Below are 17,403 nucleotides of genomic sequence, written 5' to 3'. Positions count from 1 at the left end.
TGCAGGGATCCCATCAGATGTGCCTGCTTGCCTTTCTGTCAGGGCTAAGGGATTCTTGCAGGTGTCAGGGGTTGGGGCCCACACATCTTATCAGAGAAGATCCCCACTCCAGGCATGTTTCATTTCTTCCCTCTGGAACTTTGCCATCATTCTCTCCAGGCGAGAAGTGGCAGAATAGAAAGACTCTCCCTCTATATGTCTTCACAGGACATATAGAAAGAGTGGGAACTCCTTTAAATCAGAGTGTGAGCTGAGGAGAGGGAGGGAGAAAATGGGTTTCCCAGGGCACTGGGTCTTTCATGACCTCTCCTGTGGTTTTTCCCTGCCCCCAACTCCCAGGCAGGCCCTGAGTCTTCTGTTCGACACTTACCACAATGAGGTGGATGCCTTCCTGCTGGCTGATGTGAGTACGAATCCAGGGGCTGGCCCTGCTGCCCGAAAGCTCCTCCTCTCCCCTTCCTCAGTCCTCCTGGGATCACCCAGCACTATGAGGGGTCTGGGTGGAGCCTGAAAATCTGTTGGCAGAGCACTTCTTTTTAACCCCTCGCTCATGGGCAAACTAAGACTACTAGATGTTGGGCAACGGCAAGTGCGTAGTCAGGGATTCTGCTCCTCTATAGAAGAAGCAGGTCGGAAACTGCATGCTGGTCCCATTCTCTGGAATAGGATGTCTCCAGAGCTAAGGAACCTAGAGCTGTCACCCCCCAGCTGCTGCACTTGATGTACACTGGAGCATGCATCCTATGAGCAATGTCAGAAACCTCCAGTTTGAGAGGTTCTGTTTTGCTGTTATCGCAGGTAGGAAACCATCAGGAGGTAGAAGGTTTCACATGTAGGGAGGGCCAGAGCCCTCCCCACTTGGATTCATGCGGAGTCTCAAGCCTCAAAACCATGAGAGTCAACATTTGTCTTAAATGTCACAACGCCAAAGAAAATCTGACAGTGATCTTCAAAAATAATCCCTTGCTGAGTGTGATGGCCCACGCCTGTAATCCTAACCCTTTGGGAAACTGAGGTGGGAGAATTGCTTGAACCCCAAAGTTCAAGGCCAGCCTGGGCAACACAGCAAGACCCCATCTCTACAAAAAATACAAAAGTTAGCCAGGTATGGTGGCACACACCTGTAGCCCCAGCTACTCTGGAGGCTGAGGTGGGAGGATCGCTTGAGCCCAGGAGTTTGGGGCTGTGTAGTGAGCTATGATCACACCATTGCACTCCAGCCTGCGTGACAGAGTGAGACCCTATCTCAAAAAACAAAACAAAAACCAATCCCTGTCTCATTGATCCAGTTAATAGTAGTCATAAACGCTTCCTTTTTGAGGGGTTCAGCATTATGTCTAGTCACTGCCAGAATCCCTTCTCCAGCAGCCTGTGCTTGAACATTTCCAGTGATGCGGGGGAAGCTCTCTGAACACCTGTGCTGTGCTGTTCTGGCCCTTTGCTAGTGGCTACGATGGGTAGAGAAGTGTAAGAATCGTCATAGCCTTGGCCAGGTGCGGTGGCTCACGCCTGTAATCCCAGCACTTTGGGAGGCTGAGGTGGGCGGGTCACCTGAGGTCAGGAGTTCGAGACCAGCCTGGCCAACATGGTGAAGCCCCATCTCTACTAAAAATACAAAAATTAACTGGGTGTGGTTGCAGGCGCCTGTAATCCCAGCTATTCAGGAGGCTGAAGCAAGAGAATTGCTTGAACCCGGGAGGCAGAGGTTGCAGTGAGCCGAGATCGCGCCATTGCACTCTAGCCTGGGTGACAGAGCAAGACTCCGTCTCAAAAAAAAAAAAAAAAATTGTCATAGCCTTTGGGGAGCTTGTGTTCTTGTTAGAAAAATTGAATAGTAACACAAAGCTATTAGTAGACAGAACAGGATGGTAATAAATTAATTAAGGGCTCCTGGAGGATGCTAGAGGAAGGGGATTGGCCAGGGAGGGCTTTATGCAGGAGGTAGAATTTTAGCTGCTCTGTGATTTAAATGTACATAGGTAATCAGAGCTGGACAGGTGAGGGAATTCCAGGAGCATAATTCCAGAGGGGAGGTTATGGCTGTGGCATGTCTGTAGAAATGAGATGAGATCTGTCTGGAAATTCTACAGGTCTCTGGGAGAGACCCTGTATATATGTGTATAGTATAAGTAGACTAACTATAGAGAGAGGCTAGAGATAGGAGGAGCTTCAAGGGGAACGGCTGAAAGAATTGGGGCATGTGGGCATGGCCCATTGAATTCAGTGGGAGAGATTATTTGCTGATGATGAATATTTGAAAATAAAATGTATTGCACATTTACCCCTGAGGATCATGAATCTCTCTACTCTTCCCAACCCTTTCCTTTAAAGACTGGGGTGGGGAGGGGTTGGAGACCAAGAGCATGAGAGCAGAGCCTGCCAGCCTCACTGTGCCACCTCCCACAGGGAGACTTCCCACTGAAGGCTGACAGGGTGGTCCAGTCCGTCAAGGCCATCTGCAACGCCCTGGCCGCCGTGGAAACCCCTGAGATCACCAGTGCTCTCAACCAGCTGCCCCCCTGCCCCTCCCGCATGCAGCCTAAAATTCAGAAGGTAAAGGGGCCCAGGGTGCTAGCAGGGGAAAGGAAGAGAGGGATACTGTCAGGTAACTGAGTTGCCTGTTGCTAGAGTGTGTAGGTGTTCACTCACTAAAAAGGGGCTTCTCTCCACCTCCATCTTTTATGTTTAAGGAATTCAACCGCAAGAGCTCTTCAGAAATGGATGCCAAGTGTGTCTCCTCTTCCTGAGGTTGAGGGAGAGCTACCTGGGACTGCTTGTTGAGAGCCCAGGCCAGTAAAGGCTTTATTCACAGTCACCAAGGCATTGCCTGACAGTCTGCATATCCATCAGGGTGCAAAAACAAACCAGGAGGAAAATCTCTCTAGAGCCAGGGGCTCCAGGACTCCAGCAGGGGCTGTGTGCTCTGCAGACAGGGCCAGCACCATAGGCACTGTGATCTGCAGCCGAGTAGCCTGAGGGTTGGGATATCTCAGAAGGGTGGACCCGATGATTGCTATCCTCCGTCAGCTCACTCTGTCCATCATACAGATCTGGTACAAACCATTACTCTCTCCTCTCTGGGGATTCTCAGCTACTCACATTTCAGCCCATTCTGGTCCAGATGAGCGCAGCTGTGAAAAGCCCTTCTTCCAGCTGTGACGAAAAAGGCTATGGCCCTGAAGCTCCCCTCCCTCTTCTTTTTCCCAACAGGATCCCAGTGTCTTGGCTGTGAGGGAAAACCGAGGTAAGGGAACTGCTCTCCATCTTCATCCAGTCGGGCTGCCGAAAACTGCAGTCTCTGCCCCGATTCCTTTTTCTGCCTGGGCCCCTTGATTTATGTGTCGGAGTTCGGCTGGTGTGTGTGTGTGTGTGGGTGTGTGTGTGTGTGTGTGTGTGTGTGTGTGTGTTCCTATATGAGGTGTGGATACAGCTGGAGAGCACATTTCTTTCCACAAAGTGTTTTCTTATTATTTTTCCTAGTCATTCCTCCTGGTGTCCCTGGGAGATGATGATGAGGGGGTAGAAGTGTGGGAGTGGGGTGGTGGGGCAGCACTAGCCCTGTGATCCAGATGGGAAGCCTCCCACTTGGGTAGATTGTGATTATTCTCCCAACAGCTCACACTTGCTACCTTTCCGATTTAGAGTGGGCCTTGGGAGAGGATGAGAAAGAATTTTCCCTACGATTTTTCTAGGATTCCCCTGTTGTGCCCTTCAAGCTGAACTTTGCCCTAAGACTGACCTATATCCCTGGGATTCCTTTGTTTTGGTTTTGTTTTTTGTTTTGGCATCCCTGGGATTCTTATGGTGATTCCCAGTCTTTTGGATTTCATAGACCAGTAAAATGTCCCCCAAAGTATTTGGGGGACCAAGAGAGAATTGGCAGCCTTTTACTTGGCCAAACTTTTTTGACTTTTGCTTTTTTGAAGCAACTGACAATAATTATTAACACTGTTTCCTAAAAGAAAGGACATTTTAATGCTAAGTAGCAATACGTAAAAATAAGGATTATGTTTAACATTGTATAACTGTCATTTTATGAAAAGCTCATGACATGCTTCTGCTTTTTTCTCATTTTACCGCAGATGGGTGAACTTTGTCACAGCTATTAGAGACTGACTAGCATTTGGGGACCACTGTCTTAGGCCATCCCATTCTAGCCAATGCCATGGCAACAAGGTAGGGCTTGTGGAGGCCTCATGACTTTCCCTTCTGACCCCTTCCCTTCCCAGAGAAGGTCGTGGAAGCCCTGACCGCTGCCATCTTGGACCTGGTGGAGCTGTACTGCAACACATTCAACGCAGACTTCCAGACGGCAGTGCCCGGGAGCCGCAAGCATGACCTGGTCCAGGAGGCCTGCCATTTCGCCAGGTCCCTGGCCTTCACTGTCTATGCCACCCACCGCATCCCCATCATCTGGGCTACCAGGTGAGCCCAGGGCTGAGTAGCCGCTAGGGAGCAAGCTGAGTTTGACCTCCACCAGGGCTTTTTCCTATCTGCATGTAATACCACTGTCCTAAGTCTTAGGATGTGTGGCATTGTGTGACATTGTGGTGCAATGGGGCTGCGGGGGTGAGCCAAGTGCCTGAGGAGGACTTGGGCTGGGGACATCCTAGAGGAGAGAGGAGGTCCCTTAGGAGATGAAGAAGATCCTGTTATTCCCTCTTGGTGCTGGCTGCCTCTGCATCCCTGCCCCCTCCAGATCCAAGACCAGTGGAAGGAGACATGGCAACAGATGGCCGATTCCCAGATAGAGTGCACGCTCCCTGGCCAGTGGGAGGGGGTGGGGAGGTGGGATTGACCCTTTGTCTGGGGTTCTCTAGGCCTGCAGGGGTGGGTGGAGGAGGATGTTCTTTTGGTAAAATCCTCAGCGCCTCTGTTGGGTCCCCAGCATCCAAGGCCTGAGGGAATAGGCACTGGGCCCTACCCCGCCCCTGCCGGTCCCCTTTCCCCAACCCCCTTCCCCTTCTCTCTTTGTTCCTTACTTAATGTATTCCTCTGGGCGATTGGCAGAGAACAAAGGAGGCAGCCTGGGAAACCGGGGCCTTCTCTGACCTCTTCTGTCAGGCACCTGTCATGAGCCACAGGGACCCCCGTGTGTTGGCATTCATGTCGGCATATGTCGTCTTCCTCCCCCACCCTTCTCACTTGCGCATGCACGTGCACGCGCACACACGCACGCACACACAGACGCTCCATGGGCTGGAGCTTTCTATAAAGAGGCTGGGTGGCCAGTTCCCATTAAAGGAAGAAAAACAACAAGGCTCAGAATGGAGCCTAAAACCGAGCAGAGGAATCTAGATTGAGTTGCTTTGGCCTGAGCACATTTCCTTACATCCAGTTTGGCTGTCCTATCCGGAGATCCTGTGTTACAGCCCTCAGAGACTGAGAGTTTTACCAGGGGAAATGGATTTTGGCCTTAGAGGGACGCATAGGTTTGGGTGATTGGTTTTGGGAGCTGGGTGTCCTGACCTGCTCCCTTTCTTTTATAGCTATGAAGATTTCTACCTCTCCTGCTCCCTCAGCCATGGCGGCAAGGAGCTGTGCAGCCCCCTGCAGACCCGAAGAGCTCACTTCTCCAAGTACCTCTTCCACCTCATCGTCTGGGACCAGCAGTAAGCCCTTCCCCCAGGCTTCAGTGCCCAGGCCACTGTAGACCTGCTCAGCCTCTGAAATATCCCTGGGGCCAGATAACTAGTCCAGGACTAATGATAAAACCAGGCTCCTTGTTAACCCTAACTGGACAAGTCATTCAACCTCTTGAGTCTCCACTTCCCTGACTCTTTTTTTTTTTTTTTTTTTGAGAGGCAGCCTCGCTTTGTTGCCCAAGCTGGAGTGCAGTGGTGCGATCTCGGCTCACTGCAAGCTCTGCCTCCTGGGTTCACGCCATTCTTCTGTCTCAGCCTCCCGAGTAGCTGGGACTACAGGCGCCCGCCACCACGCCCAGCTAATTTTTTGTATTTTTAGCAGAGATGGGGTTTCCATGTGTTAGCTAGGATAGTCTCGATCTCCTGACCTCGTGATCTGCCCGCCTCGGCCTCCCAGAGTGCTGGGATTACAGGCGTGAGCCACCACGCCTGGCCTCCACTTCCCTGACTCTTAAAGGAGCCAAGTATAATTACCACTTCTCAAGTTGTCATGAGGATCCAATGAGAAGTATCTATAAAGGCTCTTTGTAAACCATAAAAAACATATAAATTTTAGTTGTTGACCAGGCGCGGTGGCTTACGCTTGTAATCCCAGCGCTTTGGGAGGCCGAGGCGGGCGGATCACCTGAGGCAGGGAGTTCAAGACCAGCCTGACCAACATGGAGAAACCTCGTCTCTACTAAAAAAAATACAAAATAGCCGGGCATGGTGGCGCATGCCTGTAATCCCAGCTACTAGGGAGGCTGAGGCAGGAGAATCGCTTGAACCCGGGAGGTGGAGGTTGTAGTGAGCTGAGATCGTGCCATTGCACTCCAGCCTGGGCAACAAGAGCGAAATTCTGTCTCAAAAAAAAAAAAATTAAATGTTAGTTGTTAATTTTAATAATACTTTATTTTTTGATCTTGTCTCCCTTAAAGAGTTTAACTAGTTGGAGGGCTTCTCATCCTCTCCCTTCTTCCCTCAGTTCCTGTAGACTATGGAGAGGAGACTGTGCTTTTCCCTTTATATATAGAGAAGGGAGGGTTGTCTAGAGAAAGAATATTGAGCTTGGATTCCCAGGAGTGAGCCTCTATTTCTAGCTCTGTCTCGAATACTACTTTCTCTCTATTCTTTCTGTGCCTCATTTTTTCAAACTGAGAAATGGGGACATTGGTTTCACTCAGAGGCAGTTATGGCGTCGAGATGAGATAGGTGGGTTATAAATATAAATATGAAACCAAAAGCACAAGGTAATATTAATCACCACATGTAAACAATAATTTGGTGTCGGGAAGGTAGGCGTCAGCCAAGCAAAGCAGGAAGGAAACGGAGGAGAGGGTGCCTTGCTTGAATGGGGGCACCGCAGGGGTTTTCCTGCCCTGTGCTTCATCTGTGCTATGCTCTACCTTCCTTCCAGTCAGTCAGAAAATCCCCTGTTTGCTGCCCCCGGCTTTGCTTCCCCACACTGACTATATTAGAGTCCTCATTTGCAGAGCAGCACTGCAAGCTAAGTATTTGTAGCACAGATTAAAGAGACTGAGGAGGGTCCTGGGGAGGCCGAGGATGCAAAATAGGTAGATGAAGAATCTGGAGATGCTGGAAGAGGTGGGTCCTTTTACAGATGGACAACTGGGAAAATGGACCCTTTCTCATGCCCTTCACACTTAGGTAATTCTTAGAGCAATAAAGGTGTATATGGCTGGGCACGATGGCTCACACCTGTAGTCTCACCGTACTTTGGGAGGACAAGGCGGGATAATCACTTGAGATCAGGAATTTGAGACCAGCCTGGGCAACACAAAGAGGCCTTATCTCTACTAAAAAATTATTTTAAATGAGCTGAGTGTGGTGGCGTGCATCTGTAGTCCTAGCTACTTAAGAGGCTGAGGTGGGAGAGTCACTTGAGCCTGGGAGGTCGAGGCTGCAGTGAGCCATGATCACACCACTGCACTATAGCCTGGGCAACAGAGTGAGACCCTATCTTAAAAAAAAAAAAAAAAAAAAAGGACATGGGGTGTGCATTAAAGGTCCTCAAGCAAACAACTGCCAGGACAGGAGAAACTCCTTGCAGGCAGAGGATAGCTGCATTAAATGGCCCTTGAGTTCCACCATTCCCTTGGGATTTTTTGGTCACAATTACTGCTGCTGTCAAGAGAAGGGGTGCCAGCCTGGGCAACAAGGGAGACCCAATCTCTACAAAAAATACAAAAAATTAGCCAAGTGTGGTGGCATACACCTGTGGTTCCAGCTACTTAGGAGGCTGAGGTGGGAGAATCACTTGAGCCTGGGAGGTCAAGGCTGCAGTGAGTATCCAGCCTCGGCAACAGAGCGAGACCCTGTCTCAAAAAAAAAAAAAAAAAAAAAAAAAGGGTGCTGCACAGTGTTCTGGCCCAGGAGGAACTTTAAAAAATTGGCCTTAAACCCTTTACTCATACAGTATCAGAGGTAGAGAGGCAGCCCAGCCTGCCCCATGAGTTTCATTTTGTTCCCTGAGATCCCCACCTTGAATTTTAAAGGGGCAGTCCCCTGCCTAGCGCCTTGTGAAGGGCACTATCTTGCACTGTCCATCCAGAAGCCCCGAATGAGACTTCTTGGCCCTTCATGGTCAAGACCAGGACATTTGGGGGAAGGCGTGCCAGCGTTCAGAGGACAGTCTTTGGGCCAGTCATTCTCTCCTTCCTACTGTAGTTGCAGCCTGGGGCAGGTCTTTCAACCTAGAATGGTAGCGATAATAGGGCCTACCCTACAGGATTGTTTGAGGAGCAGTTAGGACACTGTAAATAAAGTACTTGGCACAGGCTTCTTAGCTGGGGAGCCCTCTTGGTTTTGGTTTCTCTGTTCCAAGTGACTGACAGACTGGCTGATACATGGGGATACGTGCGCATGAAAATACTATCTGTATAAGCCAGTGCCAGTGCAGTAACCACAGCATCACATAGCAAAAAGTACACAGTCTGCACACACATCATGCAAGTGAAGCTATGTTCCCCTTTTCCCTGATGAGAAACTGAGGCACAGAGATGGGAATTAAGTTGCCCAGGATTGTGAGTGGCAGAACCGGGACTGGAGCCAACCAGCACATTCCAGGAATCCTTCCTGGAGGAGGCAGCCTGTGTGATATGAGGTTGTTGAATGGGCTGCAGGAAGGAGAGGGGCTTCTCAGGGAGGAAGGTAAGGGCTGCAGCCAACATAATGGTTATCCTGACCAGCCCTGGGTGAAGATCTGTGGGAGAGGTTGTGGAATACCAGATATACCCAAGGACTGAAGGGAAGAGGGCCTTGGCTGGCTCTGGTTTCACTCATAAAGTCTTCTCACTCCCCTTTTCCTTAAGACACGAAGCTGGAAGCTTCTTCCTTGGGTGAAAAGAAAGGGCTCAGGACCAGCTCCCTCTCCCCTTTGCTATGGGGTCAGCTGATTCTCTGCCCCACTGTAGCGGTCCAGGGATCAGCTAACTCTCAAAATAGGCTCAGCAGCCGTGCTTTGTCACCTCCAGCCAAGCCCTGGCCTGGCATGTCTGCTGGCTGCTGGAGGGGCCCTAATTATAGCTGTGGGCCCCCAGGGTAGAGGCAGCTGGGACAGAGCAGGGCTCTGCCAGTCTGTGGTGGGCTGGAGGGAGTGCCTCACTTAGGTGGAGATTCCTCTGGAGGACAGCGGTGGAGGCAGGCTGCTTTATCATGAAACTGCCAACCTTGGGGGTGGCCGCCCTGCCTCTGCGCCCTCTGGCATAGAAGTTGCTGGGCCCTGGGCTGGCCAGGAGGGTGTGACAGTATGGACTTTGGCCCAGGGACAGCTTCCCCGAAAGGTAACGTGGGTCCTCCCTGCCTTTCCACAGCTCCCCTCCCCTGTGTACTTCACCCCACCCAGCAGTTCCTTATCCTGAGCTTAGAGGGAGTGGCTAGGTGTGATTCAGACTGAGGGACCTGGAGAGAACTTATGGGCTTGAATAGTGGTGGGGCTTATGTGTCTCAGTTCTCTTGGCCCTGCCATTGGCTTTCTCACCACTGGGGTACTTGGAGAAACCCCTCCTCTTTGTCCCTTTGGCTTTGAAGCTGTTTGGGGGTGGGGGTGAGAAAAACCCAGTGTGTGTCCCTGGGGCTAGGTGAAGGGGACTCCTATGAGGACAAGTGAGAGGGCTGTGGGGGAGGGTGAACCGAGGGCAGAGAACATGGTGCTTCTTCCTGGTGGCTCTCAGCAGCAAGAAGTGGGGGAGGGATGGAGACTGTCAAATGGAAAAGGAGGACAAAAGGAGTAGCTTTGCGGACCCTCTGCGGAAATCCTAAAACAAGGAAAGGAGCAAGGCTGACAACATGGGACGTGTCATCACCTGAACTCCGAGGTGGCTCTGCTAAGCAAGTTCTGTCCAGGCACCACGGGTAGCTTCAAAATCGGGATGTTCGCCTCACTCTACTGCAAAGCTCCAAGGACACCACATTGTGCTTCTGGGAACATCCAGTGGGGGTTTTGCCTAGTTTGGGACCTCTCCTGGTTCTGCAGGAGGAGGGCTTCCTCAGGGAGTATGTCTGAACCCTGAGAGGGAGGCTGTATCCTCAGCCTCAGCCTCAGCCTGACTTCCTGGGCCACCTGTTGCTTGAAGCCACAGGAGTGGCCCCTCCTAATTTGACTTCCTGTCCTCCATAGGATCTGCTTCCCAGTGCAGGTGAACCGGCTGCCTCGGGAGACACTGCTGTGTGCCACTCTCTATGCTCTGCCCATCCCCCCACCGGGGAGCTCCTCAGAGGCCAATAAGCAGCGGCGGGTGCCTGAAGCCCTGGGCTGGGTCACTACCCCACTCTTCAACTTCAGGCAGTATGTGAGCCCCAGGGTACAGCTTCTTGGCCTTGGAAGGGGAGGAGGGGGACAGAGAAAGGGGCCTGGCTGCTGCACTGGCCAGTGCGCCTTGGGAGAGTTGGCCATGTGGGGCTCACTGGTGAAGTCCAGAGGATCCCCAAGCACAGAACTGGTGACCAGGACTATTGATGTAACCAAGAGCCACTGAGCGGTTCTGGTGGCACAGGACCATGTTAAGGATACATGGAAAAGCAATGCTTGGGTAATAGATCATCTGGTCTTGTCATTGGAAGAACCTTAGAGGTCATCTAGCCCAGCCTCCCCACCTCATGAAGGCATCCCTGCCACCAGGTCATCCAGACCAGGGTGTGGTTAGCTCACAAGTCCTCTTGGAGGGCGTAAGCTTTTACAGGACTTGGGAGAAGGAAGAGGCTATGGTCCACGGTGAGAATGAGAGGGGAGTTGGATGATGGCTTCAAACAGAAAAGGCAGATTTTTGGATTGGGGGAGCAGTAGAAATATTCTCTGCTTAGCCACTTTAGCAGCTCTTCCCACTCTCCCTCCTTCTTAGGGTCCTGACCTGTGGCCGGAAGCTTCTGGGTTTGTGGCCAGCAACACAGGAAAATCCCAGCGCCCGTTGGAGTGCACCTAATTTCCACCAGCCAGACAGTGTCATCCTGCAGGTGAGGCTTTAGCCCTTCCCTCCCAGTCACCAGCAAGACCATTCCAGTCAACTCTACATTTTTCTCCTGGAGATTTGGGCTGGGACAGCAGGAGAGAGTGCTAGAACTTCAAGCATGGGAGGATGATGTGACTGAAGCAACTGAGGGAATATGGTTAGATGTGGATTGTGAGGTGAGCTCTGGGGTATCCATCTCCCATCTCCTGGAGGTTAAATTGATTTCGTGGAGCCTGAAGATGGGGTCTGAGACCCTCTGCATTCAGGGCTCAGCTTCTGAGTCCCTTGTATTGAATCTTCATACGTCTAAGTCTGATCAAACCTGACCTGGGTCCTCTTGGGGCCTGAGGGGACACCTTTGCCCCTGCCAGTGACTCAGTGCTTTGGCAGGATGGACCTATTCTCCAGGGAGAAGAGGAGGAGCTGGTCACGCCCAAGGTGCACTTCTCAGTTCCCAGCTTCCCCTTCTTGTGGTTATGAGATACTTTGGTATGGAGTATGAATGTTGACATAGAATGAAAGCTCCCTGAGGCAGGTTTTTTTTTTTTTTTTTTTGAGACAGGATCTCTGTCACCCAGGCTGGAATGCAATGGCACAATCTTGGCTCACTGCAACCTCTGCCTCCCAGGCACAAATCATCCTCCCACTTCAGCCTCCCGAGTAGATGAGACTACAGGCGCACACCACCACGCCCGGCTAATTTTTGTCTGTCTTATTTGCTGCTTTATGCCCAGACTCTAGAAAATGCCTGGCACATGTTAGGATTCAATAGATATTTGTTGAATGAGGCTGGGTGTGGTGGCTCATGCCTGCAATCCCAGCACTTTGGGAGGCTGAGGCAGGGGGATCACTTGAGGTCAGGAGTGGCCAACATGGTGATACCCTGTCTCTACTAGAAATACAAAAATTAGCTGGGTGTGGTGGCGGGTGCCTGTAAATCCCAGGTACTCAGGAAGCTGAGGCATGAGAACCACTTGAACCGGGGAGGCAGAGGTTGCACTGAGCCGAGATCACACCCCTGCACTCCAGCCTGGGTGACAGAGCAAGACTCTGTCTCAAAATAAATAAATAAATGAATAAATAAATAAGTTTTTTGAATGAAAGAAAGTAGACCTCCTTTGGAGACTTGGCTCACTCAGCTCTGATACTTTAGTAGGATGAACATCTGGTGGCATAGAGTAGGGACCGAGTGTCCCAGGGCCTTCTCCCAGTGTGTGGTCTTGCCTCCCCTCTGGCAGCAGTGTCCTCTGGCACCCCATGGAAGTCACCCCGGACTCAGCCTGGATGCACCCCGTGTTTCAGCTGGGTGACACCTCTGTTCAGAGTTCTGGCTGGGGCTTGTCCCCTCACCCCTCACCAAGGTGCATCTCCACCGAACCTCTTCCTCACATGTCCATTCTTTTTCTCTTTTTGTTTCCCTCTCATTTTTTGCTGAGAGTTATAGCTGGAAAGGACTTTAGAGATCACCAAGTCTAACAGGGCTATTTTACAAAGAACCTGAGGGAAAGTGAGGGAGGGACAAGGCCGGAATGCTGGGGTGAGAGAAAGAAGCTGGGAGTCCACACACGCTGCCTGTTTTCTCTCCTCACATCCCTGATCTCATCCCCCAGATTGACTTCCCCACCTCGGCCTTTGACATCAAGTTCACCAGCCCCCCTGGAGACAAGTTCAGCCCCCGCTATGAGTTTGGCAGCCTCCGGGAAGAAGACCAGCGCAAGCTTAAAGACATCATGCAGAAAGAGTCCTTGTACTGGTGAGACCCGGGCCCCCACTGAATCTGTCATGTTTCATCTGACCTCCCAGCACTGAGTCTCCGTCCTCCTGCTTTGGGAGTGGAGGTGGGAAGGGGTGGGCATTGCCATCTCAGCAGGAAGTGGAGGCAGCCCCCAGGCCTTTCTCCATCAGCTGACACTAGGAAAAGTGGAGAGGTCAAGGTCAGGAAATTAGATCTGAGAATACCCAAGTCCCCACCCCAGGGACTTGGTCCAGACTCAGCTACCCAGGAGGACCAGAGCTCTGCCCCACATCCCAGATGTGCTATCTACTACCTTCTGTCCACTGGGGCAGCTGGCCCCACCACCCTGCCCCCACCTCTTGCTCTCACCTCCTGCCCCTTCCACACCAACAGCCTTTGAATTTTTCTGGCCCTGTCACTTTCCAAAAAGGATCAGGTGTCAAGGCAAGCTGGCAGCTCTCAGGGGTACGTGAGTCCAGGCTGATCTCATCCTTGGGGCTGCTGCTTTCACAGGATTGGAGAAGGAGGGGTGAGAACAGAACTGGAGGAGCTGGAGGGACCTGGTTCCGCTGTCTGCTCTCTGTTTACCTCTCTGGCTCCTGCGCAGCCCTGTGCGTGTGTTGTGTGTGTGGGGGCATGAGAGAGATGGGGCTCATCTCTGTCCCTGATGTCCACCCCAAGTAGCTGGAGTAGCTGAGCGACCGCAGACCTCCCTTCCCCCACTCTGCCGACTACACTTCATTAGACCCTCAGCTCCCTTCTCCCATTAGACACCTGATCTCAGGCAAGGCCCAATTAGCTGCAGGTCCTTGAAAGCCGACAGCTGGTCCCTGGAGGCCCCAGGAGGCCTCTCAGCAGCACAGACCCTGGTGTTGGGGGACCACTGCCCTCTGGTGGTTCTATTGAGCGTGGTGCCCTCAGGGCATCCGCAGGAGGGGTAGCAGATTCGGTGCCCTTGGCCCATGCATTCTCCATCCAAGATGTCCCTGAGTTGGGATCAAAGATAGGATTTGGGCTCTGGTTCCCAAACTTTGATTCATATTGGAATCACCTGGTGATCTGTGGCATAGACTGATGCCTGGCTTCCCCAGCCATTTGGACTTAACTGGTATCAGGTGTGACCCAGGCATGGCGAGGGGGTTCACTCAGCCCCTCAAGTGGGTGTCATATGCAGCAAAGCTTGGGAACCGCTGAATTGCAGTGTGTGCAGCACTCCCTTGAGGGTAAGGGCTGCACCCCCTGGCTGATGCTGTTCTCTCTCACTGCCCCCTACCCTCCCACCACCTTCTCCTTTCCGTGTGCCCACCAGGCTCACTGATGCTGACAAGAAGCGCCTGTGGGAGAAGCGATATTACTGCCACTCGGAGGTGAGCTCGCTCCCCCTGGTGCTCGCCAGCGCCCCCAGCTGGGAGTGGGCTTGCCTGCCTGACATCTATGTTCTCCTGAAGCAGTGGACCCACATGAACCACCAGGATGCCCTGGGGCTCCTGCATGCCACGTGAGTTGTAACATCTGCCTTTTCTGACTATGTGTTCTTGTAGAAGCCAGGGCACGACACTGCCCATCAGTGATCTGAGCCAGCCCTGGGGAAAATGGTAAAGTGGGTGTGGATATTCAGGGATTTTCCATTTCTCCTTTTTGCTTTTTCTTTCTCATTTTCCCTTCAATGTTATATTGTCATTTTTCAAACATACAACAAAATTGAAAATTGTACAGTGAATACCCATGTGCCTACCACCTAGATTCTATTGTTAGCATTTGCTCTGTGTGCTGGATTGTGTACATTTCATTTATCCATCACTGTATCCATCCATCTATCCATCTTATTTTTTATGCTTTTTTTTTTTTTTTTGAGACAGGGTCTTGCTCTGTCACCCAGGCTGGAGTGCAGTGGCATGCATATGGCTCACTGCAGCCTCGACCTCCTGGGCTCAAGCACTCCTCCTGCCCCAGCCTCCAAGTAGCTGGAACAACAAGTGCACAGTGCACACCACCACACCTGACTAATTTTTAAAATTTTTTTGTAGAGATAAAGTCTCACTATGTTGCCCAGGCTGGTTTCAAACTCCTGGGTTCAAGCAATGCTCCCTCCTTGGCCTCCCAAAAATGCTGGGATTATAGGTGTGAGCTACCATGCCCAGCCTTTTTATACATTTTGAAGTAAATTACAGACACCATTAAACTCCCTGCTTTGGCATGCACATCATTAACTAGAGCTCGATGTTTGTTCTGTTTTTTTTTTTTTTTCTTTTGGGGCAACATTTATACATAAGCAAATACCCAAAGTTTACCTGTACATTGGCTGAGTTTTGACAAATGCATACGCCTGTGTAACTGAAATCCTTATTACTTAGTTTTATTTTAATCATTGCCCATTCCCTCTTTCTCTTGAAGGGTTCTCTTGGGACCCAAGGCTTCCAGTCTTAGATCTGTTAGGGCTGCCTTTTCTAGATGGTACCCAGGATTTCCTGCTTATTTCTCGCCACTCTCAGTAATCAAAATGTACCTATCCATGTGACCTGCCTTAAGGAGTTTTTGAGCCAATGGTTTTGTTAATCTCTGCTAAACTAATTCTGCCAAGGTTTATTGGCTTATATAAAATACTGTGATTTTCTGTTATTTGCGTGGTACATTTTGCATTAAAGGATGTTAACAAGACAAAATAATGCTTTTACCCACATCAGGGCCCTCCAATGGCAGGAATTTCTGGCACAGTGGGAGTCAAGGGAGAAATCTCTGGAGTAAGGTTGAGGACTTTGTCCCATTTTCTTTAAATCCTCCAAGGAGTGAGAGTGGCTACCTAGTTGTTCCCCCATGGCTCAAGGCAGACTCTGACCGTGAGGAAGGCTCATTCCCAAGGGTTGCTATCCAGGGAAGTTGCTAAGGATTCTTCTAGTGACTTTAGCAGAATCTAGGGCCATTGCATTTTCTTTCTCCATGCCTCTGAAGCCCAGGTGTGAGGGTGCTGGGCTCACAGCTGTGCCTCAACTTGCAGCTAGGTTGTCAGGGCACTGGGCTCTGTTTTGCAGCTTCCCGGACCAGGAGGTGCGTCGTATGGCTGTGCAGTGGATTGGCTCACTCTCAGATGCTGAGCTGCTAGACTACCTGCCCCAGCTGGTACAGGTGGGTGGATTGGTCCTCCCTCCAGTTTTGCTGGTCCCATCCCCAGTATCCCAAGTGAGTCTGCATTCTGCCCCTTAGAAACCAGAGATCCCAGTGCAATAATAATAAGTGTAGGTTACAGGCAGTTAATGAAGCTTCATATTCTCTTTCTCCCTTTCTCCGAAACAGGCCCTGAAGTATGAATGCTACCTGGACAGCCCGTTGGTGCGCTTCCTCCTGAAACGAGCTGTGTCTGACTTGAGAGTGACTCACTACTTCTTCTGGTAAAACTGCATGTAGAAAAGTGGGAGGTAGACACGTGTCTTTCACGTAGGAGTATTTCACTCTTAGGCACGCAAGGGCAAGGAACTGAGTTGTCCGGGCTTCAGTATGTGCTGACTTACCCTGTGGCCTTGGACCAGCATCTTTTCCTCAGGGGTCTCAGCTCACCCCATGTAACATAGTGAGGATTATGTTATCCTGTCTCTCCTCTACCCACACATGGCAGAAATAGAAAGGAGAAACAAGATGCAGAGGGGCTGTGAACTCTACTTAAAGACAGAGTGAGGGCACAGACTGGGGTATGGGCACAGGTGAGCATCTCCATATGAGCCGTACATACAGAATGTATTTTCCCTCCCAAGTTCGGGGTGGGTTTTGCAGTGAGTTGGAGCTGGGCCTGACTCTGTCTCCCCCTGTACCCTTGCCTTTGATCCCTGGAGTGCCCTGACTCCTGACTCCCTCTGCCTTGCAGGTTACTGAAGGACGGCCTCAAGGACTCTCAGTTCAGCATCCGCTACCAGTATCTGCTGGCAGCCTTACTGTGCTGCTGTGGCAAGGGGCTGAGAGAAGAGTTTAACCGCCAGTGCTGGCTTGTCAATGCCCTGGCCAAACTGGCCCAGCAGGTCCGGGAGGCAGCCCCATCTGCAAGGCAGGTTAGTGGGGTGAGGCTGCCCCTACCCATTTCTCATCCAGGGCTTTGGCAGCCAGTTTCTTCTTAGGAATCCTGAACAACAAGATTCCACGTGACGATTTTTGATTTTGGAGCGGGGAGCAGCTGACTCTGGAAACTAGGCCGTAAACAGGCAGTCCACAAGCTGGATACAGCCCGTGGATGTGTTTTGTTTGTCCTGTAAAATATTGAAATTTATTTAGCTGTTTGTTTTAAAGGCTAAGCACAGTTGTGTAAGTTGTTCATTGCACAAGAGCACTCAGCCAGAAGGGGCAAGTGAGGGCTGAAATCCAGCCATATTTTGTTCACCATGCTGTGACCCATGGCTCAGGCCTGATGCCACCCAGAGAGGACACCTTTATCTGTTTGTACGAAGACATTGTAACCAGCCAGCAGTGTTCCTGGTTAACGACATTTAAAAATTGAGAGATTTTGTATCAACGTCCAGATTGTTAGCTTTTCTTGGCAGAAGCCTAAATAGCTCTTCCCCCTTGAGAGACAGCCTGCCCTCTCTGTGCACTG

At 51.1% G+C, this 17,403-nt stretch overlaps 1 protein-coding gene across 3 annotated transcripts in view, besides 8 other annotated features; it reads left to right on the top strand.

Annotated features, from left to right (window-relative positions):
• PIK3C2B (phosphatidylinositol-4-phosphate 3-kinase catalytic subunit type 2 beta) overlaps window positions 1–17,403 on the top strand; it is a 72,173-nt gene that overhangs the window by 34,525 nt on the left and 20,245 nt on the right. For 2 of the 3 annotated variants that reach the window (NM_001377334.1, NM_002646.4), the window contains 12 exons: window positions 340–403; window positions 2,407–2,553; window positions 3,211–3,244; window positions 4,230–4,425; window positions 5,490–5,612; window positions 10,264–10,431; window positions 10,985–11,096; window positions 12,703–12,845; window positions 14,137–14,325; window positions 15,857–15,950; window positions 16,119–16,213; window positions 16,684–16,864. In NM_001377334.1, the coding sequence (NP_001364263.1) occupies window positions 340–403; window positions 2,407–2,553; window positions 3,211–3,244; window positions 4,230–4,425; window positions 5,490–5,612; window positions 10,264–10,431; window positions 10,985–11,096; window positions 12,703–12,845; window positions 14,137–14,325; window positions 15,857–15,950; window positions 16,119–16,213; window positions 16,684–16,864 (1,546 nt within the window). The remainder of the gene's footprint in view (window positions 1–339; window positions 404–2,406; window positions 2,554–3,210; window positions 3,245–4,229; window positions 4,426–5,489; window positions 5,613–10,263; window positions 10,432–10,984; window positions 11,097–12,702; window positions 12,846–14,136; window positions 14,326–15,856; window positions 15,951–16,118; window positions 16,214–16,683; window positions 16,865–17,403) is intronic. The other variant, NM_001377335.1, reaches the window with a different exon arrangement.
• Window positions 1,965–2,464: an enhancer, noted in NCBI's record as "H3K4me1 hESC enhancer chr1:204426945-204427444 (GRCh37/hg19 assembly coordinates)". NCBI's record gives its function as "activates a minimal SCP1, AML or CMV promoter by ChIP-STARR-seq in naive H9 embryonic stem cells {active_cell/tissue: H9 hESC(naive)}" and the evidence as "EXISTENCE:reporter gene assay evidence [ECO:0000049][PMID:30033119]".
• Window positions 2,465–2,966: an enhancer, noted in NCBI's record as "H3K4me1 hESC enhancer chr1:204426443-204426944 (GRCh37/hg19 assembly coordinates)". NCBI's record gives its function as "activates a minimal SCP1, AML or CMV promoter by ChIP-STARR-seq in naive H9 embryonic stem cells {active_cell/tissue: H9 hESC(naive)}" and the evidence as "EXISTENCE:reporter gene assay evidence [ECO:0000049][PMID:30033119]".
• Window positions 2,465–3,094: a biological region, named in NCBI's record as "H3K4me1 hESC enhancer GRCh37_chr1:204426443-204426944".
• Window positions 2,894–3,094: a silencer, noted in NCBI's record as "peak665 fragment used in MPRA reporter construct". NCBI's record gives its function as "represses an SCP1 promoter by STARR-seq MPRAs in K562 erythroleukemia cells {active_cell/tissue: K562}" and the evidence as "EXISTENCE:reporter gene assay evidence [ECO:0000049][PMID:32103011]".
• Window positions 4,474–5,451: an enhancer, noted in NCBI's record as "VISTA enhancer hs1368". NCBI's record gives its function as "enhancer in: neural tube[6/10] | hindbrain (rhombencephalon)[6/10] | midbrain (mesencephalon)[6/10] | forebrain[6/10]" and the evidence as "EXISTENCE:transgenic organism evidence [ECO:0001131][PMID:17130149]".
• Window positions 7,044–7,153: an enhancer, noted in NCBI's record as "active region_2365". NCBI's record gives its function as "activates an Ori minimal core promoter by ATAC-STARR-seq in GM12878 lymphoblastoid cells {active_cell/tissue: GM12878}" and the evidence as "EXISTENCE:reporter gene assay evidence [ECO:0000049][PMID:35858748]".
• Window positions 10,308–10,832: an enhancer, noted in NCBI's record as "H3K4me1 hESC enhancer chr1:204418577-204419101 (GRCh37/hg19 assembly coordinates)". NCBI's record gives its function as "activates a minimal SCP1, AML or CMV promoter by ChIP-STARR-seq in naive H9 embryonic stem cells {active_cell/tissue: H9 hESC(naive)}" and the evidence as "EXISTENCE:reporter gene assay evidence [ECO:0000049][PMID:30033119]".
• Window positions 13,591–13,640: an enhancer, noted in NCBI's record as "active region_2364". NCBI's record gives its function as "activates an Ori minimal core promoter by ATAC-STARR-seq in GM12878 lymphoblastoid cells {active_cell/tissue: GM12878}" and the evidence as "EXISTENCE:reporter gene assay evidence [ECO:0000049][PMID:35858748]".

Source organism: Homo sapiens, chromosome 1, assembly GCF_000001405.40.
Source record: "Homo sapiens chromosome 1, GRCh38.p14 Primary Assembly".
Lineage (NCBI taxonomy): Eukaryota > Metazoa > Chordata > Mammalia > Primates > Hominidae > Homo > Homo sapiens.
Note: the sequence above shows the minus strand (reverse complement) of the source record. Positions and strands in the feature narration are given on the sequence as shown.